Below are 25768 nucleotides of genomic sequence, written 5' to 3'. Positions count from 1 at the left end.
TTATACTGAAAGGCTCTTAACACAGGGTCAAGAAATACCCAAATAAAATTAGGGCTTAAGTGGTTTTTAAATCTCCACAATAACAGATTACTCACCCAAACACCCAGCATTGTGTTCCTACGCGCTTGCACTGTGTGTCGGTGAGGTAAGCGTAGTACTGTCTGAAAGAACAAAGTTGGAATTCATTGAGAGCTGCTGGAAGACCAGCAAGTCAGCACATAATTAAATCACTTTGACAAAGTAAAAAACGTCCCTCCTTGTCCCATGTCAGGCTGCCTGGTCTAGTTCTGTTCAAGAGAAGAGAAAGCCAGTGCCTGTTAAAACATTCCTGTAAGAGATTCAGCGTTTGGGTTAGGCTGGAGGCAGGGGAGCATCATTTAAAGAGCCAGATTCTTGTCTGGTCTGAGTGCCGGGGTGTTTACAACTAACTGATCGCAACCATTTACAGATTTCTTTGTTCCTTTTCCACTCCCACTGCTTCACTTGACTAGCCTAAAAAAAAAAAAAAAAAAAAAAAAAAAAAACCACTAAAAAGAGCCAGATTATTGACAAAGTCAGTCTGGATTCAGTGGTAAGACTTCCACAGCGCTGCAAAGGAACCCCAGGTGGGTGTTTCCATGTCTAGCTCCATGGAGGTGACTCCAGAGAGTGAGCAGTACTGTCCATTGGTTGTCTCCTCTGGTTCTCTCCAGGACAAAGGTTGCTGATTGTAACCAGGCAAAAAATATACAGATTTTTGGCTTTCAGAAACTGGAATGGGACCCCAGCTATATCTCACTGCCATTGAATGCCAATGACTTGGAATGTTACTGACAAGTTCAGAAAAAAAACAGGCAATGACATGGTGTTGAAAGGCTCAGAACAGCACCATCCGGTAGAAATATAATGCAAGCCATAAATGCAATTTTAAATTCTCCAGTAGACATGTTAAAAAAGTAAAAAGGAACATACAAAATCCATTTTATTAATATGTTAAACTAATATTTAAACAAATATATTAAAACATTATAATGAGGTATTTTATATTCTGTTTTGGCCCCAACTCTTCAAAGTCTGGTGTGCAGTTTCCATGCACGGCACATTTCATTGTGGAGTGACCACATCCCTAGTGCTCAATAGCCACACGTGGTGAGTGGCCTCTGTGTGGGACAGCATGGCTTGGAGTCTTGTAAGTACCCCTGAAACTCAATCTACCCCTTCAGCAGTAGCACCTGAACCAGGAACTCATCATCTTTTTGGGGTCACTGACTCTTTGAGGATTTGATGAAAGAAAGGCATAACACTTTGCATTAAAGTTCAGAGGATTCACGAATACCTGAAGCTCATCCATAAACTACTGTCGTCTCACCCCAAAGACCAGAGTGAAGAATTCTAATTATAAAGAATGTAGCTTTTCCTCTAACTTCATATTGTCATGACCTAACACGTCTTGATCATTTTAGCTACTTTACACTCTAACTGGACCCATTTCCTTATATTGTACTTTATAGTATCAGATTAAAAGCATGTTCACTCAAATATCTTCTCAAAGCAGATTCGTGTGAAAGTCTAATAAAAAAGGAAGAAGCTGGAGATGTTAGGATTTACACTGAAGCCTCTAAACTCTCTCTCCTCTCGGGACCTAACATTTGCTAAATGGGGTGGCTGTGTTAAAATCCATTAGCAGCACATCCATCTTTCCGAGTAACTTGTCAAAGAAACTCCTTACATGGGAACTGCCTCAAACAGTGTAAGGGCACAGGAAGTGTCTGATTTTTTAAACAAAGAGAGTTGTGGAGAAATCCATAGGGCATTGTAAAATTTTGAGGATCTCTCAAAAGTTCAAAACGTTGGATTTTTAGTGTCTAGTTTTTATTTTGGAATGTTTAGTACTGAAATTTCATGATAAATCATATACGATTTGCTATTTTGTTCTAAGAAGAAAATTCTTTCCATTCTTACTGACTTTATTGATTGCTCTTAATTTTATGAAAGAGCTGCGGTAAATCTTTCCTGAAAAAAATTGTAAAGTCTCAAATTAAATTACATTTTAAATGGGGACTCTAAACCATTAAGAAAAAACAGGATTTATGAGATAATGACTGCAATAGACCACTAATCTACGAAGTTTCAAAGGGCTGCTGGCTTACTCTTCTTTTCCATTTTGGTCATAACAAAAAGAACAGATGGGAATGTTAGGCTTAACTCCTCAGGACTTGGACATGTCTTACTTGATTTGTTGAATCCAGGATCTGGAGGTTTTTTTTTTTTTTTTTTTTTTTTTTTTTTGGTAATATTGAATGATGACAAGAAGAGGTGCTGGCTGGAAGGTCTGTTTGACCAAGGTATAGATCTACTGTCCTTGGCAAGTGAGGCCCGCTGCTTATGGGGTTTGCAAGCACATTAAAAATAATGAAATAAACAATCTTACAGCTTCTGAAAAGCTAACTCTTTTAACTGCTTAAATTATATTTGTACCTTTGGCAGATCTTTGGTGTTGCTACTCATTAATGCCAGTATTCCGTATTAGTTATAAAACTCAAATGCCATTTCTAAATAGGAAAAATGAAACAAATGAAAATGCTTGCTTTGAACTGCACTGGGCCCAGTCTACTTGAGGGATGGTGTCTGAATAAGCCTCACCTCTAGGGCCCCACATTAATCCAGGGGAATAATGGCGGGAACACCCAAGCTTATCTCAGTTGTCCTGGAGGACTACAGGAAGGGCCTTTTTAAAAGGAAATTAAATTAATTGGGTCTGAAAAAGCTAAAAGTCTCATTCAAAAAATAATGTCATTTATGACTTCAGTTCTACCATAAAAACATTTGCATTTTTCCAGTAATCTCATTTTTAAAAAACTCAGCATCACTATGCTGTTATTTTTTTCTAATATGATGTTATAGGAGAAAAAAAGATCGGCAGTCCAAGACTGTAAAGGAATCTGATAATAATGGATAGTACTATTGGTGTGGTGTTCATCAAGTGCTTCTCTTTTTAAATGTCTGGTTAATGTTACTGACATCTGAGAACAAAACATTTTCGTCATATTCTGGATGTACAATTCTTTACGATGGTATTTTCATGGAAAATCTGCTAGTTTATATGACTTTCCTTATGCTAAACAGGACAATCTAAAGCAAGTTAATGTTCTCATATGACAGTCAGGCTTGTGCAGAATTACCTCACTGTGGGAGCTGTGATGCCACCAATAAAGAGAATTCTACCCCAACTTAATGGATGACTGGCTTGGAACACAAAGATATGCTTCAAGAAGAAGGTATTCAACTCAGTCAGCTGAAAAAGACGGAGAAATTAGTCAACCTGGTACCTCATGCTAATTCAAAATCCTCTATTCCTTAAATAGACATTCTACAATTAGAAATAATTGGTATGTTCAAAGCATTTTCAGAGAATAGATGTGGTCTTCCAAGGATTGCTATTCAAACTAGTTAACAGCCAGTACATTATGGGCAGGGAGCAACTGGAGGCCCAGGGAGAGGTGGCAGGGGTGGTGGATGGGCACATAGGGGAACAGGATTATCAGCTATTTGTCATGTTTCCTGGTTTGTATGATTGTTACTCAGCTCACACATGTGATCCACTGGGATAGTCGGGAGAGAAATGCTTTGAGCATACAGAAGTCATGAAAGCAAACCTGTGCCACAGAACACCTATGCTGCCTTACAGAAATCAGGCCAGGTCTAACAGAATTCCAAATGTAGATAAGTAAGCTCTTTAACAATCAAAAGAGGCTTGAGGCCATGCACGGTGGCTCATGCCTGTAACCCCAGCACTTTGGAAGCCCGAGGCGGGCAGATCGCCTGAGGTAAGTTGTTTGAGACCAGCCTGGCCAACATGGTGAAATCTCATCTCTACTAAAAATACAAACAGGCATGGTGGTGGGCGCCTGTAATCCCAGCTACTCAGGAGGCTGAGACAGGAGAATTGCTTGAACCTGGAAGGCAGAGGTTGCAGGTTGCAGTGGGCCGAGATCACGCCATTGCACTCCAACTTGGGTGACAAGAGTAAAACTCCATCTCAAAAAAAAAGCAAAAAAAGAAGCTGGAGACACATCTGAGAGATGACGATGGACTCGTGCAGCACACGCCTGGGACAGAGCAGATCCTCTACCAAAGGCAGTCCTTAAAAGTAGGTATGAAGGGTTGGTCCAAGTTTCAGCTGGGAGCAGTAGTACTTTTCCCTGAGGTTAGCATCCTCATGCAGTTCATCATGATGAGTAGCACAAAATATCTTGTGGCTGGGACGTGGCTGCTCTCTGCCTAGAGCCCAGCTCCAGGTAGCAAACAAGGGGTGGAGATTATGGAACGGTCACTGTGCTAGGAGAACACAGTACATAGACTGGCAGGTTCATTACAATTCCACAAAATGCATGTTGTTTTCCCATAGCACTGACTTCAAGGACACAAAATAAAAAATAGTCTAATTAATATCACATATGGAAAGCTGATCCCAGCGCAGTGCTCACACTCATGGGAACAGTGTGCTCCATCGCATACCACCAGGTGGTTCCATCCTAACGGCACTATACTACTCTCCTTGACACATCCAATCATTCCTCCTTGTAATAAAAGAAAGCTTCTGCTTTCCGTGACATTGGGCCTGATAAGGCAAAGCTTAATCCCAATCCATCTACAGTCCTGTTTTTAAAGATACTGACCTCTCCAAACCACAGTGATTACTTACTTAACTATTCACGTACACTTCTGTATGCATAAACTTCATTTATTGCGATGGGCATTGTCTCTGTGTGAACAAGGAAGATCATCTGTCCTAAAAGTGACATCTGCTAATTTTTTCCTTATGTTGGGAGTATTTTGTGTTTATGTGTCCAAAACATAATTTCTGATGACTCTGAAAGATCCTCTTCAGGCAAAAGCTGGTTTCCCTTGGCTACTTTCCAAAAGTTGTGAAACAACCTGGGGCCAGGAGCATCAGAAAAAATTGCTGTCTCTCAGAAACACAGATGCTTGATAATCTTTTGCCAAGACCCTGGGCTGTCAGAATCACTTCCGTCGTGAAGTGGGCCACTTGGAAATACAGCTTCTCTCCACGGAGGACAACACTCTGGAGGACTCAGCAAAAGGCTCCAATTCCCCAGCACTCATTTAGCACCCTACAGATTAACCAAAGTGGTAACAGCTGAGGAACAATTTTAACCAATAAACACTGAATTAGGAATGTAAGAAAAGCCTTCTCATTTGTTCCTTTGGTCTTGAAAATGATCATTCTAAAAAGCAATCCAATGCCTAACTCATTGGATGATGGATGCTAGACACAAATTATTTCACGGAATCTAATCTGTTTCTAATTTGTAATTCAAAGATCCATATTTTAAAACTGTCTTCAAAATGAGGCAAGACCTTAGGCATAACAACATCACTTTGCTTAATTATTCTACATGCCAGCTGCAGAATATTATATCTTGTAAAGTATGGAGCTGAAAAGCAATGTAAACTAATGTTAACTCTAAATTCCTAAAAAGTTTTTATTTTAGTTTTTGTTTTCCTCCCAACTTCTGGGCATCTGAAAAAATACCTGCCAGATGATCATGAAAAGGTACACTCCAGCTACTCTCTGAAAAGAAGATTTGGGGTCAAACCATCGAACATAGGTCCAGCTAGCAGGAGTGAACTGCAGAACAGCTCTCTTGATCTTCCCGGTGGTGGTATGAATGTCCCTGTAAGAAGAGAATGGCTCCAGTGAAAATCCAGAGATAAGGCAGGGGGAAAACAAAGCACAAGAAAAAAATCCTGTGCACTGATGATTTTTATAATAAATGCTCAGGACAAAGAGACTGCTTTTTATTTGAATTGTGTCTCAAAGGTCTCTCTATACAGGTAAAGCAGGTGACAGAAGCACACTCAATGAGGAATCTCATTGATGACAGGCACAGGGCAGCAAGGAGACTGTTCTCCCACTGCTTGTCTCCCACGTAAAACTGCACACACTCCATATTCTTGCATCACCCACAACACTTCTTTACCCTATTTCTTCCCCAGAGCAGTAAACATTTTGGGTTGATGAACAGTGATATTTAACCTTTCTTCATTTGCATCCTCGAAATCACTCAATTAAAAGTTTCACACACCCATGAAAGAACTAAACAGTCCTACAGTTTACAAATGCAGACATTAAGGCCCAGAGACAGCAAGTGGCTGGCACACTCAGCATGAGGAGTGGGTGCAGATTCCAGCCCTCCCTGTACTAGTCCAGGAGAGCCAAAACCCAAGGTATAATAAATACTATTTAATAACTGGTAAAGAGTCTTTAATTCCACAAATATTTATATCATGAACTTTTACGTCTCCAACATTGTGCTAAGTGGTTGGAGGCACAAGCACCAACCAGTCAGGCCTTCCGTTCTAGTGGGTGGGAGCAGGGAGAGTGATAGGAAACCAGGGCTGTTCCTTCATCCACCCACCTATCCACCAACAAACTCGTATTGAGAAAACATCACAGCAAGAAGATCTGCGGCACACTGGCAGCAAAAAATAGAGACTATCCAAAAATAAACAAGAACTACAAAAGACTTGTACTGTAAAAATAGCAAAGTGCATAGAAAGACTGAGAAGAAAATGGGAATAAAGAGAGATGCAGCGTGATCAAGAATCAGAATATTTAATACAGCAAAGAGGTTAATTCAACTTAATCTGTATTCATTTATACATTTAATATTACTTTAAAAAAACCACCAATAGGATTTTTTGTTGTTGTTTATTAGTTGGGTTTATGTCGTGGGAACTTGACAAAATGATTCTGAAGTCAAATTTCAAGAATAAACATAAGAAAACAAGGAAGTATACTGTAGCAGTGTTCAAGAAAGCAGACATCCTGAGGCCAGGCATGGTGGCTCATGCCTCTAATCCCAGCACTTTGGGAGGCTGAGGCCGGCAGATCACTTGAGGTCAGGAGTTTGAGATCAGCCTGGCCAACATGGTGAAACCCTGTCTCTACTAAAAATACAAAAATTAGCCAGGTGTGGTGGCGGGTGCCTGCAGTCCCAGCTATTTGGGAGGCTGAGGCAGGAGAATCACTTGAACCTGGGAGACAGAGGTTGCAGTGAGCCAAGATTGTGCCACTGCACTCCAGCCTAGGCGACAGAGTGAGACTATGCCTCAAAAACAACAACAACAACAACAAGGAAAGCAGACATCCTGGTGCAAATTCAGACTCAGCTGCTTGCTAGCTGTGTGTCCTTAGGCAAATTACTAAACCTAAGCCTCAGTATCACATCATTCCTAAACTGAAGAGAATAACAGTGTCTACCCTCAGGACTGATTCAAGGCTCAAATGAGATATTGCTTGTGAAGCTTGCTTGGAGCAATACTTGAAGCATGGCTACTATTTTTATTAGGTTAAATGCTGCCTTAAATATATTAAAAAGTGGCTGGGCATGGTGGCTCATACCTGTAATCCCAGCACTTTGGGAGGCCGAGTAAGGCAGATCACCTGAGGTTGGGAGTTCGAGACTAGCCTGGCCAACATGGAGAAACCCTGTCTCTACTAACAATACAAAAATTAGCTGGGTGTGGTGGTGCATGCCTGTAATCCCACCTGGGGATTACAGGCACTGGGGAGGCTGATGCAGGAGAACTGCTTAAACCCGGGAAGTGGAGACTGCAGTGAGTTGAGATTGCACCACTGCACTCCAGCCTGGGTGACAGAGCAAGACTCTGTCTCAAAAAAACAAATACATAAAAATTAGAATTAAAATTAAATATATTAAAAAGTGTCCTTGCAAGTCAGTGACCAAAGAAAGGTTTAGTAATAAAAGGGATGGGGAAAACTGGTTAACCAATGGCAAAAACATTGTGAAATCTCCTCCTCACATCATATACCAAAATAAATTTGAGACAGATTAAATACTTAAAACAAGTAAAACCACTAAAGAACTAGAAGAAAGGCTGGGCACGGTGCTCACGCCTGTAATCCCAGAACTTTGGGAGGCTGAGGCGGGCGGATCACCTGAGGTCAGAAGTTCGAGACCAGCCTGACCAACACAGAGAAACCCCGTTTCTCCTAAAATACAAAAAAAAAAGTTAGCCGGGCGTGGTGGCTAATCCCAGCTACTCGGGAGGCTGAGGCAGGAAAATCGCTTGAACCTGGGAGGCGGAGGTTGCAGTGAGCCGAGATTGTGCCATTGCATTCCAGCCTGGGCAACAAGAGTGAAACTCCATCTCAAAAAAAACAAAAACAAACAAACAAAAAAACAAAAGAACTAGAAGAAAATACTGGTTAATATTTACCTAAACAAAAAGATTAACAGTATTTTTGATGTTTAAATAAAAAATCCACCACAAACTAGTTTAAAAGGGGATGACAGGCTGGGCACAGTGGCTCACGCCTGTAATCCCAACACTTTGAGATGCTGAGGCGGGTGATCACCTGAGGTCAGGAGTTCGAGACCAGCCTGGCCAACATGGTGAAACCCCATCTCTACTAAAAACAAAAACTAGCCAGGCGTGGTGGCACGCGCCTGAAGTCCCAGCTACTTGAGAGGCGGAGGCTGCAGCGAGCCGAGATTGTACCACTGCACTGCAGCCTGGGTGACAGAGCAAGACTCCATCTCAATAAAACAAACAAAAAAAAAGGGGGTGACAAAATGGAAAATAAAGTCACATTTATGGCAAAGTGTTAATTAGCTTAATCTGTAGAAAGCACAAATAAAAGAGGGTAAATCCAATAGAAATTGATAGAAATCCAGTATCACACAATTTTATGTGTGATAAATTTGACAAAGGTTTAAAAATGAAGTTCAAGGAAATAGTGAAATGGATATACATATATATTATAGGTGAGATTACAAATTGGTACACTCTATTTCTAAGAATTTATTTACCAAAAAAAAGGCGATGCACACTAAGATATATGTCCAAGAATGATCACTCCAGTCTTCTTTATGAAAGCAAAAACTTTGAAACAACTAAAGGACCATAAAATGGAACTGGTTAAATACTACATGGTTTATCCATATGTTGAAGTACAAAGAAGCCCTTTAAAATCATGTTTTAGAAGAATATTTAATGATGTGGGAAAATGCTATTTTGTTATATAGAGTAAACAAAGTTTTAAACACAATTGAAGCAACCACAACTTTCATTATCAGTACCATTATTCTTCCTTATCAATGGCATGATTCGTGCTGCAAAATGAGAAGCAAGTTTAACAAAGCAGGATAAAGCAATGCCGGCGGTATGACTGTCCTCTACTGGAAGCATAGTGGGGTATGCAACTTAAAACTATTCAGAGAACTTCCTGGGTGGCAAGTGAGCTAAGTCAGCAAAGAAAAGGATGATCAGGCTGGCCTATGGGTACACAGGCCAAATCTCAGGTGAAGAGAGGGGAGCGTGTGCACAAACAGACTCTCGGTTGCCTGGGAGGGTGTAGAGAAAGGATCTCCCTACTGGGGTAATGGATGTATTGACCATGACCAAAGACCATGAGAAGCCATCACAGGGCAATGACATGATGAATCTGATGTTCTTAAAAAGATCACTCAAGCAATGGTGTGGGAAGGACTGGAGGACTTAACCTGGAAACAGAGATGAATTGATCCAGGGATGGGAGTCTGAATGAAGGCTGAGGCAGTCGGGATAAAAAAGAGTGGGGGTGGATTTCAGAAATCTTTTGAATTAGGAGGATGGTGTTAGGACCCCCTGAATACATAGGGTGAGAGAGAGAAAATCATAAATGATTGAGCATTTTCTGGACAAATGCTTGAAATCAGGTTTATAATCATTTATGAGTTTCAGTTATTAACATGGAATTTATTCCTTATCATCAAAGATCATACTAAAATGGATTCCTACCAAAACAATTAAATATATATCATGAAAAACTGTGACTAATATCCAAAAAGAAGGCAACTCACTTGAAGCTTGCCCAGTGGTAAGTCCTCATCTCTAAAAACCGGCAAACGACCATGCCCAGCCAAATGCCACCGCCATTGCACAACAGGATGTCCAGAATGACTTGATCCCACCAGCACTCGGCAAAATTGGGGAGGAGATGCATGAAGAAGAGCTGAGAAACACAAGAGCCCATGGTTGGAAAAATAAACAAAACTGGGGTACCATGCAGATAGATAGATTTCCTTTTTAACAATACATTATTTTAGAAGAAGTTGTTGACATTTCATTTTTTCCTAATGTACAGAAAATAACCAACAGTAACAGGTTCTGCAATCTGTTTCTTGTTTTTTATATTGCAGATGGTTTGCAAACAAACAGCACATATCCAAACAGCTCTTCTCTTTTTGACACAGGGCTTTTAAAGAAAGAATGGTCTCTCTTGAAAAATACTACCAATTAATTACCTTGGCTAATGACAACATGACAAGGATCTGGGAGGGGAAAAGGAGAAAAGTTTCCAACCCTGACAACAAAGCATTGTCATAATTCTCAAAATTAGCAGCTTGAGAATTCAAGTTGTGCATTTCAAAAATATCCCCTAGATATTTAGGTAAAACAGTGAGTAAGTTGTAAAAGAACAGTTAGCTCTTGATGACACGATGTAGGAAGCATGACAGCTTAATAGGAAATCTCACACCAACTGATTCACAATAATGACAATCTTTTATTAAGTGCCCATGATGTGCAAGGTGGTGAGAGAAAAGGAAGTCAAGGGTCTTGATTTCAAGGACAGGTGTCAGATGTTGTATTTTTTTTTTTTTTTTCTGAGACAGAGTCTTGCTCTGTTGCCCAGGCTGGAGTGCAGTGGTGCGATCTCGGCTCACTGCAACCTCTGCCTCCCGGGTTCAAGCAATTCTCCTGCCTCAGCCTCCCAAGTAGCTGGGATTATAAGCACACACCACCATGCCCGGCTAATTTTTGTATTTTCAGTTGAGCCAGAGTTTTACCATGTTGGCCAGGCTGGTCTCGAACTCCTGACCTCATGATCCACCTGCCTCAGCCTCCCAAAGTGCTGGGATCAGATGTTTATCCAGATAACCAGAACCATAAAATATGGTAGACTGAGGAAAGTGTTACAATGGTGACATAAATGGAGTATGGTGGAAAAAAACATTCATTCTGACTGAGGCTGAAGGTTCTTTTGGCCTCTGGAACTTTCCTGGAGAGGGCTTCTACAAGAAAGACATATTGGAGGGGGAACGTTAAGGACAAGAATGACTGATTTCATGAGATGGAGATGAAGATGCGGGCATTCCAGGAAGGGGAAACAGTAAGATCAAGGGTGGAACAGAAGTTCTCTAGAAATCAATTTGTTTTGTCCAAAACAAAGGGCATATCCACTGTGTTCAGAACAGCATGCCCACTGAGTGTGAAGGCCCAATGTAAAAAGATGAAATTACTAAGACAATGCCTGGGAGTTCTCTGGAAAGAGACAAGCCTGTAATTACAAACCTTTGAAGTAATATAATAAATACTGCAAAGATAAAACAGTATTCATGAAAGCATTTTGTAAGCTATAAACAAATTATAAATATGAGGAATTTTTTGTTCTTAATGAACCTGCTGTCAAGAAGCTACAGAGTAGCTGCTGCATGTGATGGCTTGTGGCTGCATTCTTAACCCCAGGGGCCTGGTACTACCCTTGAAGTGTATTCCCAGGTTCCAAGCCACGAGATGGAGCCTTAACTCTTGCCCTTAGAGAGGGAAGGGAGAAACTTCAGCAGAAGTCAATGACACATATTTGCTGAAAGAAAACTATGCAAGAGAAAGTGGGATGTGGAGGACATCCTCCAGCCTAAGGAACTTTCCTGGAAGGTACCAGGTTCTGGGGGTGAGATGGGCCCCCGATAGACCCAAGCCCAAGGAGGAGGGGGCTGCATTCTTTCATTCACTACAGATTTGTGGAGCATCTGCCATGTATAAGGCAAAGTCCTTGGGTCTGGGAATACATAGGCATGGGCCCTGCCCTCTTGAGGCACAAGGATTAGCAGAAGAGACACTTATCGAGTGTCTAACACGTGAGGAGCATTTCAAAGGAGAGTGGCGAGGTGTTCTATTTCCAGCTGTATGAAGGTGGAGCACAGTTACTGGAGGGGCAGGGAAAGCCTTCCAGAGCTGAGCTCTGGAGACAGCTTGTTAGCAGGTGAAGGGCAAGAAGAGAGGGAGGAGCAGCAGGTAGGACTCTGTGGTGGGGAAGACAGCAGAGGCGGCTGCAGCACTGAGGGCAAAAATGAGGCATGATGAGGCTGAGGCTGCAGGCAGGGGCCGGTGAACCTGGAGCCTCGTAGGCAGGGTTGGAAGTTTGGATTCTATTTTAAGAGTAATGGAGGCCTGGTACGGTGGTTCACACCTGTAATATCAGCACTTTGGGAGGCTGAGGCAGGTGGATCACCTGAGGTCAGGAGTTAGAGACCAGCCTGGCCAACATGGCGAAACCCCATCTCTACTAAAAATAAAAAGTTAGCTGGGTGTGGTGGCACACGCCTGTAATCTCAGCTACTTGGGAGGCTGAGGCAAGAGAATCGCTTGAGCCCAGGAGGTGGAGGTTGCAGTGAGCCAAGATCGCACCACTGCATTCCAGCCTGGGCAACAAAGCAAGACTCCGTCTCAAAAAAAAACAGAGTAATGGACAAACACTAAAGAGCTCTGAGTAGGAAAGAGCCTTGGTCTGGTGGGGTCTAAAGAGGATCATTTGGCAATAAATAGTGAAGAGACAAGCAATTCTGACAGAGATGACCATGGATTAGAGACAGGTGGGAGCAGAGGTCTGAAGAGACGTCAATGGACGACTGGGTGCTTAGAAGACTCTACAGAACTCTATAGGGCCTGGTGACCACAGGCACTGGGAAGCAGGGAAAGAAGGTACAGCAGATGCCCAGTCTGCAGTGCAAGGGGGAAGCAAGCGAGGCCGACAAGGGCCAGGTGCCTGACACAAGCCTATGCAGCGGCTGGGTTCCAAAGACACTTGGAATTCAGAGGTGGAATGTGGTATAAGGGCAGGAACGTGGGCTTCACATCTGGAATCCAATCCTAACTCACCTAAGGAAGCAAGGCTGTGCACTCCAGATCCCCCACCTGTACAGTGAGAACCTATATGCACCGCCTTTCCCGGTTTGTTGTGAGGACTTAGAAGGCATATGTAAAGTGTTGGGCACTATTATGGATCGGTTGAATTGTGTCCTCTCAAAACTCCTATGTTGAAGCCCTAACCTCCAATATCTCAGAATTTGAGCTTATTTGGAGATAGTCATTGGAGAGGTACTTTGTTAAGATGAGATCATAGGCAGTACAGTGAGCTGCTAATCCAATATGACTTGTGTCCTTATAAAAGGGAATGCTCTTGTGTCCTTATGAAAAAGAACACATGGGGCTGGGCACAGTGGCTCACGCCTGTAATCCCAGCACTTTGGGAGGCTGAGGTGGGCAGATCACAAGGACAGGAGATTGAGACCATCCTGGCTAACATGGTGAGACCCCGTCTCTACTAAAAATACCAAAAATTAGCTGGGCGTGGTGGCACACGCCTGTAGTTCCAGCTACTCGGGAGGCTGAGGCAGGAGAATGGCGTGAACCCAGGAGGCGGAGCTTGCAGTGAGCTGAGATCGTGCCACTGCACTCCAGCCTGGGCGAGAGCAAGACTCTGTCGCAAAAAAAAAAAAAAAAAAAAAAAAAAGAACACCATGAAGGCTCAGACACGCACAGGGAGAATGCCACATGACCAGGAAGGGGTCATGCATCAACAAGCCCAGGGACCACGACTGCCAGCAAACCACAAAGATAGAGAAGGAGCCTGAAAAAAATGCTCCAAAAGGCCCCAGGGGGAACCAGTCCTGCCGACGCTTTGATCTTGGACTTCTGGCCTCCAGAACAGTGAGAGGCACATTAACAGAAGCCACATCTAGTTGGCACACGTCTCTAAGTTAGGGTCAGGACAATGATGAGCATGGAGAAGTATACTGCGCATGTGGACGAATTCTGTTCACTGGGAATGATTCATAATAATAGAACAATAATGAGTTAGTTCCCAAAATTTCATTTTGCTAATGGTTTTTCAAGACTATAACTCTTTTATTAAGTAAATGCAACAAACTTTTGATTACTGACATATTAGAGCTAACATTTGGAATCCATTTTGCAGCTACCAAATACCCTGGATGCTCTTATAGTACTTGAACACACAATTCTATTATCTCAAACTGGAAGCTAGTTAGTAGGTCAACTGATCTATTGAATTCTAAGCAGGTCTCCTCATTCCCATTTATTTGTCTTACTTGGAATTTTAACTTCATTCTTTAGCTTTATTTCATTTGTTTCTCTTTAAGACTTGCAGGACAGAGGTGCACTTTATTAAGTTAACAAGGAGGTATTTTTAATATTTGCTTGTTTTTTAAACAGAAGTATTAAATATTCTTATGGGATGGTTTAAATACTGTTTTGTACCACAGGGGCTGGAGAACGGATTAACTGACTGTTAACTGACATACTTTTTCCTATATATAAACTACACACATGGCACAGTCTGGGGAACCCCCAATGCCCTCCTTCTTACCTCAGTCAGCTCCCAGGTAATACTGATTGTCCAGCAGAGACCGTAACTACGGATCAGCAAGGCCTTCATGGCCCAGCCCCAGAAATGTCCAAATGCAAAAATATCAAAGTGGCTGATAATCCTCTCCCAGGTGATCACATGGCAGTTCACAGCATACTCCTATTTAAAATAAAAAAGAGAATAATTAGTGAAACTCTAGAAATCAACTTGCTTCCAGGATTCTGCCGGTAAATAAAAAGAATAGATATGAACTTGACAACAAATAAGTCCTGCTCAGTAACAAATGAGAAAGTTTTAATAACTTAAGGGCCTTGAGGGAAAATAGACAAGTATTTGAGTTTATAAATCAAAACTGCTTTGCTCTGAATTGCAAAAGCTGCATTAAAATGAGAAGCAAAATAATTTTACAAAGGCTCAACATATCCTAAAGAAGTGGTATCACATAGATCATGTCATCAGACCACAGGGCAACAATATTAAAGCCAGTAACTAAAGCACAAATAAAAGATTCCCAATAGATTTGGAAATTTAAACACACATTTCTAAGTATCATGGATTAAAGAAGAAATCATAATAGGAATTTTTTTTAACGTGTCATAATGATAACGAAAATACACCACGTAAAAATTGAACTTTAGAGGAAAATGTAAAGCCTTAAATAGTTATGCTAGAAAAAAGAAGAAAAGCACCCAACTTCAGTAATTAAAAGAGAACTCCCCTCCCCAAAAATATATCGGATACTACATAATTTAAATATTAAAAATTACAAAGCTTTTCAGAATGTTGGTTCCATTTCTAATATCTTTGTTTTTGATTATACGTATTTCTAAGTAATTTAATATCTTATCATATGACTGCATGACAATATGATAATATAACATTTACTGGGAATCTCTACATTTCACATCCTTTCTTCCCAAAATTAATTTGACAGGCAGTAGTAAGAGTTGGCAAATATTCACCCCCTATTATCAGCCAGCTGAAAAAAATTCCTATAAACTATAATAGTTTTAAATTCCAGAAATGATACTTTCTGAGAGCAAAAGAGCTTCCCTGTCTCTTCTGAAACCCACCACACATCAGATTTCCTTCTCAGATAAAATGCATTTCAACTTGCAAAGCTGAACAAACATTTTTAAGAATTCTATTTTTTGAGAAGCAGTATGATGTGAGATTATGCTGTGTAAATGGGAAATCTGGAGAAAAGAGGATAAAATTCAATAGGGTAAGTCAAGATAAGGCTTTAAAAGAAACAAACTGCCCTGCAATAAGATGAAAAGTTTCTTCCCGGACTCTGGAACAGCACGTTCTTGTCACAGAGAATCACAGGCTGACAGAGGGAAATGCCCTTAGCTGAAGCAGGTTGTATATTAGGTTAAGGAGCAGGGCCACGTCCAGTCAACCTCAAATGTCTCAACCACCCCACCCTCTTCTTTACTCTGGAATACACTGTGTAGGGTTAGATAAGGAAGGGGTAAGATCTGTTTTTAGAAGGCTGCTCTTAAAGTAATCACAGCTTGCAGATAACTCTGGAGGACTTTACACTCTATTAAGTAGCTCTATGCTTTGACATGCGGAAAGGCATTTTAAAAATCATAAAGACCAATCCGTCTATTTGCAGTATAGTTAGTAATGAACAGATTTGCCAATTATCCCCTCATAAGACCTGAGGTCCTTGTCCTGGAAGGGCCACAGGGCATTGCAGTTTAAAGCAGCCAGAGAGCTGCATGCAGGCAGAACCCTGGGAACCAGGAGGAACAGGCTTTAACTGAAGACAGTGTAGAGCTGAAGCCTGGAAAGGGGGTCAAGTGGACAGGTGCATGCCTGTGAGCAAAAGATGGGTAAAGACAGATTCTGCTGACTTCCCAACTGGTCCTAGGCTGATCTTGGCGGCCTTACCCTCTGCCTTGCTTGCTGGACACCTAACCAAATACCAAGTCCTATTCACTTTACCTCCCCAGGTTGTTCTTTTATGCATCTCGCTGCCACTATTATTTCTTGCTTAGACTTCCATAATAATAGCTTTTGAAAACTGTGGAATGTGTCAGGCATATAACAAAGTATAGATGATGCTATAATAAGCACCTAGGTATTCACATCTAGCTTACGACTACAGAGAGATCTTGAAAATCATAATCAGATCACGGAACGTGCATGCATGTGTGTAAGGGTGTCTGGGGCAGGAGGTGGGAAGAAAGGGGTTGGGTAGCATGCCCGTCCCAATGTAGAAGGATCTCCACTACTACACACGCCAGGTCTCCAGCCCAACTATCTCTTCACTCCTCTCTGGGGCAGTTGCTGACTTTGGAAGAAGAAAGAGATCCAACCTCTTTTGGGTCCTCTTTGGAAATTATTTGCTTACAGACAGCACAGGTTCTCATCAGCTCCCCCAGCCATGCAGCAATTTTTGTGGGTCAGGCCCTGCTTTGCAGAAGCAGCTTGTGGTTGTCTAATGGGCTAGGGGAAGACAGGCTTGCTTAATTCAGCCCAGGTCTAAAGCAATCTGCTCCACTGAGCTTTCACAGGAAGAAATCAGCTGAGATTTTGAACTCTTGTTTCTGTTTCCAAACTCAACTAGAAATGGAGGTATTTATTGATTGACCTCCTAAAACATCAACACAGGTCATGTAGCTCCTCTGCTTATAAACCTTCCATGGCCTTTTCATACACTTAGAATAACACCTAAACTCCTCATCCCAGCTGGCTCAGCCCTGGCAGCCTCCTAGCCTCAGGCAGGGCCCTCTGCCTCATGATCTGGTCCCAGCTCAGACTGGTCCCAGCTCCCCACACCCCCAATCAGGACCTCTACACAGACTGTACCATTTTTAACTATCGTGCTTCCTTGAATCTATGACACGTCTTTTTCACACTGTATTGTTTTGAGAATTAGGGTGACTATTTCAATATATTACAATGTATAGCACTTTAAATATAAGGTTTCTTTTCTTTTTTTTTTTTTTTTTTTTTGAGACAGCGTTGCCTAGGCTGGAGCGCAGTGGCACCATCTCGGCTCACTGCAACCTCCGCCTCCCGGGTTCAAATGATTCTCCTGTCTCAGCCTCCCGAGTAGCTGGGATTACAGGTGCGTGCCACCACGCCCAGCTAATTTTCATATTTTTAGTAGAGACAGGGTTTCACCATGTTGGTCTCAAACATGGTCTCAAACACCAGGCTGGTCTCAAACTCCTGACCTTATGATCTGCCCACCATGGCCTCCCAAAATGCTGTGATTACAGGCATGAGCCACCATGCTCAGCCCCAGGTTTCTTTTTTTCTCCTCCAAAAAGTCATACCTATAATTGATGGTGCATCTTAAAACTGATGTTGACCTCACAAAGCCATGACCAATCTTAACATTATAAAAAGCGAGACCACCAGACACTGTGTGCCTCCTAGTGTGATACGCAGCACCAGCTATGAAGCAGTCCCACTATAAAAACTGATCTGGAATCTAGAATCTCATCCAGCCCCTACACCTGAGTTCTACTTTATAGAAGATATAGGGGGACAAAAAGAACATGTTAAATGATGATACTGCAAATGCAGCTGCAAAATCCAGATGTGAAAAACCCTATAGAATAAGCAATGTGGTTTCTTTGACAAATAAATTTTCAGGACATGATGAGGGGAATTACAGATGAAAAGAGATTTAAAAGACATATCATATGCAATGTGTAAACCTTGTCTGGATCCTATTTTGAATAAATCAACTATACAGAACATTTACGAAGCGACTGCAGAAATGTCAACACTCACTGCGTACTGTTCACTGTTCAGTGGTTATGCCAAAAAAAAAAAAAAAAAGAAAAGCCCATCTATTTTAGGTTTAATTCCTGAGAACTGTTTCAAAATATTCCAGGATGTGGGATGAAAAGGTGGAACAAGTTTGGGCCTGTGTCAATAATACTGACACTGGGTGATGGGTACATGAAGTTATAGATTCTCTCTACTCTTGCATAGGTTTAAAATTTTTCATAATAAAATTCTAAAAAGCTGTTGAAATTGTCTTAGGGTTCAATAGCCAACAATTATTTGTTTAATTTGCCTTCTAGTAGACTCTAAGCTCTAAGAGGACAGGGAACATGCCCACCCTCTCCCCCACTCCCACCAGCATGGGATGGTGTCTTATGCAGAAGAAAAGCTGGGTCAGCATTAATTAGCCAAAGACTGCTGCTTCAAGACAACCCAGTATTGAAGCTTAAAGACATATTTTTGAATAGAATCAATATTTTGAAATGCAGCAACTTTTCAATTACACAAAAAACTGCCTCTAACGGGATTTCAGTGATCCAATTTATAATATTTATAATATTATAATATTAATTCTAAGGGATTTATAATATTTTATAAATGTTTATAATATTTATAATATATATTTTATGAATATTTATATTATATAATATTTTATAATATTAATTTATAATATTAATTCTAAGGGAAAATGAAGTCTGAGTTTCAATGTATGATACCAGGCATGGATCATGGTCTATCAAGATTAGGAATGGGTAGCAACATGAAGGAGTGGAGAGAGTAGGGACTCTGGGAAGCCAGGAATTATAGACCTGTCTTGCATAAAGGAACCACTAATGAATAGGTCCTTAGAATTGCAAAAGACAATTTAAAGAAGTATAAAGGGATGGGATTAGAGATGGAGAAGATGAGGCTGTTTTAGCACCAGTTAGAACTCTACAGGCTGAACACAGCCTCGTGCTTTACTTTGGCAAGAAAGATTTAGCCAATACTTGAAAACTAGAGTTTAAAAGCCAGGTTCAGCTACTTGGGGCTGTAACTTTGACATCTGGATGTCCCTGTGATGTCAAATTCTTAAGAAAGCCAGGTGTCAAGAGCATTATCATTCGATTCAATCTCCTCCTACTGGCTGTGAGAACTGGATCAGCAGAGGCACACAAGCACATCCACCTGCAAGTCAGTTTACTTTGCAATGTGACCACTTTTGTTCAAAAATGCAAGAAAGATGTTTGGGAAAATATTACACTTGGGGTATCTTTCTCCCAATTTCTATTTCCTAAGGCTCCTGTGAGCATCAAAGCACTTATTTTTATAACTATATACTGAAAGCACACTCCAAATGAAAAGCACAGGTTTTGACGCCAGAGAGATCCATCGGCTTGTGTTTTCAGTGAGATACTGCATTTTAAGCTTCCATCTCCTCCCCTGTAAAATGGTGATATGAACATCTAGCATGCATGCACGAGGCTTATGTAGAATATAAAGAGCCCTGCACAGTGTCTGACATAGACAATTCATAATAAATAACTGCCCTTATTCTCATAACCGTCATCTGCATTATCATCATCATCATAGGCTAAGAAGTCAACCTCCGTCATTCTCTCCCTTAGAGTAAAAAAATTCCAAAACAGACTTTCTCCCCCAAGACTGATAAATAATTTCTGGCATTCTTATTTTTGCTTTAAGCATATCCCTTAAAAAATTTATAGATAACAATCTTTAAATACCACTCTAAGAAGGATTTGACCAATGTCACCATGGGGGAATGATTATTTCTTGGACCTTTTATGAAGTCCCTTTGTGTTACTTCTTGTTTGTCAAAGCAAACCCATCTATGGCCCAAATTCCCGTTCTCCTTTTCAGAAAAAAATTAACCTGTACCAAATGTTGGGATTAAAAAACATTGGAAAAGAACACATTATAGTATAAAATAGTGTGATATTGTGATTCATAATAAATACATAATTTGGTCCTTGTCCCCAGTTCCTAGCCCAGAGCTCCGGAAACCCTTGCAATTTCCTGACCAATAGGGGTGCCAGGTGCATCTTTTGTTCTAATATCTGTTCTTTGACCCCAGTTACTGACACAGAGCTCCTAATTCCTTGGAGTTTCCTGGGTGATAGGAGCATCTTTTGTTCTAATGAGGTGACTTGGTAAGTTCCTGGGTTGGGGCTGATCATCAGAAAGACCAAACCATGATTAGAAGCCTAGAACTTTCAGTCCCACCTTCCATCCTCCGGAAAGGAGAGCAAGACTGGAGATTGAGTTAAAAATCATGGGGGTCTGGGTGCAGTGGCTCACACCTGTAATCCCAGCACTATGGGAGGGCAAATCACCTGAGGTCAGGAGTTTGAGACTAGCCTGGCCAACATGGTGAAACCCTGTCTCTACTAAAAATAGAAAAATTAGCCAGGCGTAGTGGCAGGCGCCTGTAGTCCCAGCTATTTGGGAGGCTGAGGCAGGAGAATTGCTTGAACCAGGGAGGTGGAGGTTACAGTGAGCCGAGATTGTGCCACTACATTCCAGCCTGGGTGACAGAGCGAGACTCCGTCTTGGAAAGAAAAAAAAATTGATCATGGGCCAGTAGTGGTGGCTCACACCTGTAATTCCAGCACTTTGGAAGGCTGAGATGTGTGGATCAGTCAAGGTCAGGAGTTTGAGACCAGCCTGGCCAACACGTTAAAACCCTGTCTCTACTAAAAATACAAAATTAGCCGAGTGTGATGGTGCATGCCTGTAATCCCAGTTCCTCAGGAGGCTGAGGCAGGAGAATCACTTGATCCTGGGAGGCCAAGGTTGCAGTGAGCTGAGATCACACCACTGTGCTCCAGCCTGGGCGACAGAGTGAGGCACCATCTCAAAAAAAAAAAAAAAAAAAAAAGGCCAAGCGTGGTGGCTCATGCCTGTAATCCCAGCACTCTAGGAGGCCGAAGCAGGCAGATCATTTGAGATCAGGAGTTTGCGACCAGCCTGGCCAACGTGGTGAGACCACCGTCTCTACTAAAAATACAAAAGTTAGCCGGGTGTAGTGGCAGGCGCCTGTAATCCTAGCTATTCGGGAGGCTGAAGCAGGATAATCGCTTGAACCTGGGAGACAGAGGCTGCAGTGAGCCGAGATTGTGCCACTGCACTCCAGCCTAGGCAACAGAGTGAGACTCTGTCTCAAAAAAAAAGATCATGCCTATGCGATAGTCTCCATAAAAATCTCTGAACTCTGGGGTTCAGAGTTTCCAGGTTAGTGAACACATCCACATGCTGGGAGGGTGGTGTACCCCAACACCACAGAGACAGAAGCTTCTGCCCTGAGGACTCTGCTGGACCTCACCCTAGGTACCTCTCCATCTGGCCATTCACCTGTATCCTTTATCATGTCCTTTACAATAAGCCGGCAAACTTAAATATTTCCCTGAGTTCTGTGAGCCATCATAGCAAATGATTGTGCACAAGGAGGATATTGTGGGAACCCCTGATTTGTAGCTGATTGGTCAGAAGCACAGGTGACAGCCTGGACTTGCGAGTGGCATCTGAAATGTGGGCAGTCTTATGGAACTGGGCCCTTAACTAGTGGGATCTGACGCTAACTCCAGGTGTCAGGAAAGTTAGAGAATTGGCTGGTGTGGGAAAAACCTACACATCTGGTCACAGAAGTGTTCACCGTCAGTGAAGAGAAAAATAGTTGGTTTTTCCCACATAATTAGTCTCTTCAGTAAAAGCCAAAATAGAGTCGTTTTAGCCAAGAATAAAATTTTTTTGTATGGTTCGATAAAAATAATAGTAACAAATGAAATAAACTAATTCATGACTACTGGCCTCTCTGTGGCAAGCAGTGGAGCAGGATCAAGGCATCAAGGCCAGAGAGTGCAGGTGCTGAGAGTGACATTGACAGGTGCAGGGGCAGCCACCGTGACCCAGGGCATGGCCCAACAACATGGGGTGTTGGGGGCACCATGGCAGACCTCGCAGTAGGCCCCACAGATAATGCTACTTTGTTCACTTCACAATAACCCCCAAGTAAGTATTACTATGTCAACTTACAAAAAAATGGAATAATCTGACAAGTACTTTGCCCAAAGTCCCACAACTACCAAGTAACAGAGGCAGAATTCACACCCAAGGCTGTCTGACGATAAAGTGTGCATTCTTCCTCACAGACCCCTTTGCGTAATGAGAGGATTTTCTTTCCCTGAACTCTATCACCTGTGGACAACCATGCAACTCAACAACCCTCCCAGAGACCTGGTTTTTAGGTAACTACACAGGAAATACAGAGAAGGAACAATTTAAAATGTCAAGTCTATTACCTCTTACACCCAAGAAAGAGTCTACGAGTTTCTCCAAGAGGCCACTGACAAGTACATACCATGACATCTGCTTCCCTTGTGGCGTATCGAAGATTTGGATCTAGCCAATACATTAGAGATTTAACCTGCTCGAAATTCAGGAAGAGTAGGAATACCAGGAACAGGAAGTAGAGCACACTGAGTCCTGAGAGAAACAAAAACATGCTGAAGTTTAGAAGAGATCCAATAGTCAGACACACACAATACACATTAGACTCGAATGGCATTGCCAAAACCAGACACTAAGATTGCAGCACAGCCTGTCAAGACTCCTCTTATAATCTGGGATTTCCCTTGATGAGGCAGTCTGATACACAGTCCTAATTCAGATTGAGAGTGGTCAAGAAAACCATCTCTGAGAAACTGATGCTAACTTAGACTGAGACTTGAAGGATCATGAGGCAAAGGGTGTGCGGGGTGGGTGTGAGGATTGCACGCAACATTCAGGTAGAGAACAGCATGCAGGTCGGTTTCCGAAAAGAGAAATATCTAGGACCCCGTATGTGGCTAGAGCACTGGCAGAGAGGGGAATGGAGCAAGGCGGCCCTGAAGTGACCATCAGGGCTTAAAGGCCACGGCCAACATTTCAGATATGATTGTAAGTTAAGTGGGGAAATAAGATGATCTAGGTAACATTTTAAAAAGCCAACTAAGTGGACTGGAGGAGGGCAAGGCTGGGTGTGGACAGTACTACCAGTGTAAGGTTCAAGAGGTGGCCCAGGGCCACTTTTTTGAGACTTACACTCCACATTACCCCGTGTAGGCATTATTTTATTGTTCTATCATCTCATAATTGCTATCCTAATAATCACTATGTGTCATTTTAAAAAGAAATGTTAACAATGCACTTTTAGAAGGCAAAACCCTGTCCAATACGTTTTAGAGAGATTTCAGAAACGATCACGAGGGGTTTTGTGGTTTCTCTTTCCCTTGAACTCATTGGAATTAGAATGTTTATGCGGGACATTTAGAGACCGTGATACAAATGACCTTGGATCACAGCATCCATCCAAACTTGGCTCAGCACTAATCTCCAGTGAGCCACTCCAGAGGAGAGCACGTCCGTGGCTGGAATGAAATCCACTGCAAGCGCTATAGTGCCAGACCTTCTAACAGGCACCCCTCTCCTGGCCTCAGGGAGTTCAAGGGAGGCCCGGGTGGTATGTGGCCAGCCCATAATTGTGCATCCTAGGGCCCAGGGAATGCACATTTTTTAGGCAAGTTGATATGAGAATTGCCTTCAGTTTGCACTTATGCACCACCCATTTTTTACCAATTTTCACCACAAACGCCCCCCACTACACTTTTTAATAATTATGATCCTCTTGAATAATTACATTAGGACAGAAAGAATCTGTGGTGCAGGGATTCTCAATCTGGAGTTCTTGGTTGGGCTTCGAGGTCTGTGAAGCCCTGGACACTATATGCAGAGCTGTGCATGGTCAATGTCCATGGATGCACACATAGGGAATGGGTCTATCTATAGGTCTCATCGGATTATCAAAGGGCTCCATGCTCCCAAAGGCTCTCAAGAAGGAAATAAAACTGCTTACTACCTACCATAGATCATTTGAAATAGGAAGAATTCAGATGTGTCCAAATAGCTGAAAATAACTTATAACTTCAAACAGCACTATTGAATCAATGGGAGGTATGCACGTTATAGCCAGGACTATCTTTTTGAAAATGTAAATGGAATCAGGTCACTCTAGGAAAAACCCTCCCATGATTTCCCCCTGCCCTTCATGCCCTGCTCTTTACCCTGGCCCACAGTCCCCATGATTACATCTGTGCCCGATGACTCTCTGACTTCTCTCCTACTCTTCTCCCAGGGTGCACTATACTGGGGCCACACTGGCCTGGAAGTGGTTTCTAGCTGTGGGCCATTTTGGCAGCTTTTCCTCTTGCCTGGGATGCTCCCCTCCCCCAGAATCTTTGCAGGCTTGGATCCTTCTTTGTATGACAGTTTCAGACTTGGCATCACTCCCTCAGGCCTCCCATCACTCCTCAAGCTAAACCAGACACCAGCTCCTGTCACCTCCCTTGGTCTTAACTAGCTTCCTACTAACTCCAGATAGCTGATATTTTTTTGATTACTGATTTGTGTAATAGTTTGTTTACTAGCTGTCCTTTGTCTCCAAGTGGAAGGGCAGCTCCTTGAGGGCAGGCTCCTGTCTGTCTGGCCTTCCCTGGTGGCCTCAGGGCACAGAGCAGCATCTGTCACACAGCTCACTCAGTGAATGGCTGCTGAGTGAAAAGTTCACCAATCAATTCAAAGAGACTAAGAGTTACCTAGAAGCTCTGAAGGCTGAAAGAAAAATAGGCAGCCTATAGCAAAATAGCAATTTCTTAGAGTTCTTGTACATTTTTACATAAGATTACATTTTCCAAACCTAAAATAATTTGGTGACTTATTTAGGTCAGATGAAGCCAATATCCAAAGTTTTGAAGATTCATTTTAAATCCTTTAGGTGATTTCACTATTTAGACTACAAAATTAAGTAAAAATAAGACATCCAATATTTATATGCTTATTTCTAACCCTTAGTTCAAATTAGGGTTCTTTGTCAGAAGTCTTTCTCTTTCCAAGTTCTTTCTCATTCATAAAACTGAAGAAATTGAATTGCTTTGTTTTCATTCCCTTCCAGATGCTCACAAGACAAATGTGCTCATCATAAGTTCTTGGGCTTGCACTAGTAAAAAGCACTATGAAAACACATAAAGGAAAACAAGAGATATTTGCTTAAGTCAAATCCTGTGTACATTAAGAGACAACAACATAAGGAGGCATGTGGAGTTGAAACAGTTCATGTGTAAGAGAATTTAAGTCATCCTCAACACTTTATTTTGTGTCAAATAATTTTAAGAAAACATGTATATTAGGAACATCAAAAAGCAAAAAGCTAGAATAAAGTTTTAACTATTGAGAGTAGCAAGTAAAAGTCTTAAAGTGATAAGCAGAAAAAAGATTAAAAAAATAGAACATCCTTTTACATTGCTAATATAAACTCACCAAAAACCATTCGCCATAAGGCTGGATGAGGTCGAGTGAACGGACCTGCAGATAAATAACATTATAAAGTTAGAAGGAACTGGTTTCAGAGAAGGCTAAAACTTAAGGTGCTGCTGATCTCCATACAGATAACAAGAAGAAAAAGCTCTCTACTGTTAAAAGTTTTTTTTTTTTTTCTACATAAACACTTTGAGGTCAAAGTTT

General features: G+C 41.8%; 1 protein-coding gene across 2 annotated transcripts in view; it reads right to left on the bottom strand.

Moving 5' to 3' along the window:
• Positions 1–25768, bottom strand: part of PTDSS1 (phosphatidylserine synthase 1) — a 75094-nt gene that overhangs the window by 27278 nt on the left and 22048 nt on the right. Inside the window, exons 3-9 of one of the 2 annotated variants that reach the window (NM_014754.3) lie at positions 25565–25609; positions 22572–22696; positions 14462–14620; positions 9873–10024; positions 5537–5678; positions 3162–3274; positions 96–161 (exon numbers count right to left, since the gene is read on the bottom strand). In NM_014754.3, coding sequence (NP_055569.1) covers positions 96–161; positions 3162–3274; positions 5537–5678; positions 9873–10024; positions 14462–14620; positions 22572–22696; positions 25565–25609 — 802 coding nt within the window. The remainder of the gene's footprint in view (positions 1–95; positions 162–3161; positions 3275–5536; positions 5679–9872; positions 10025–14461; positions 14621–22571; positions 22697–25564; positions 25610–25768) is intronic. The other variant, NM_001290225.2, reaches the window with a different exon arrangement.

Source organism: Homo sapiens, chromosome 8 (genome assembly GCF_000001405.40).
Source record: "Homo sapiens chromosome 8, GRCh38.p14 Primary Assembly".
Lineage (NCBI taxonomy): Eukaryota > Metazoa > Chordata > Mammalia > Primates > Hominidae > Homo > Homo sapiens.
This window is presented reverse-complemented; position numbering and strand designations above follow the sequence as displayed.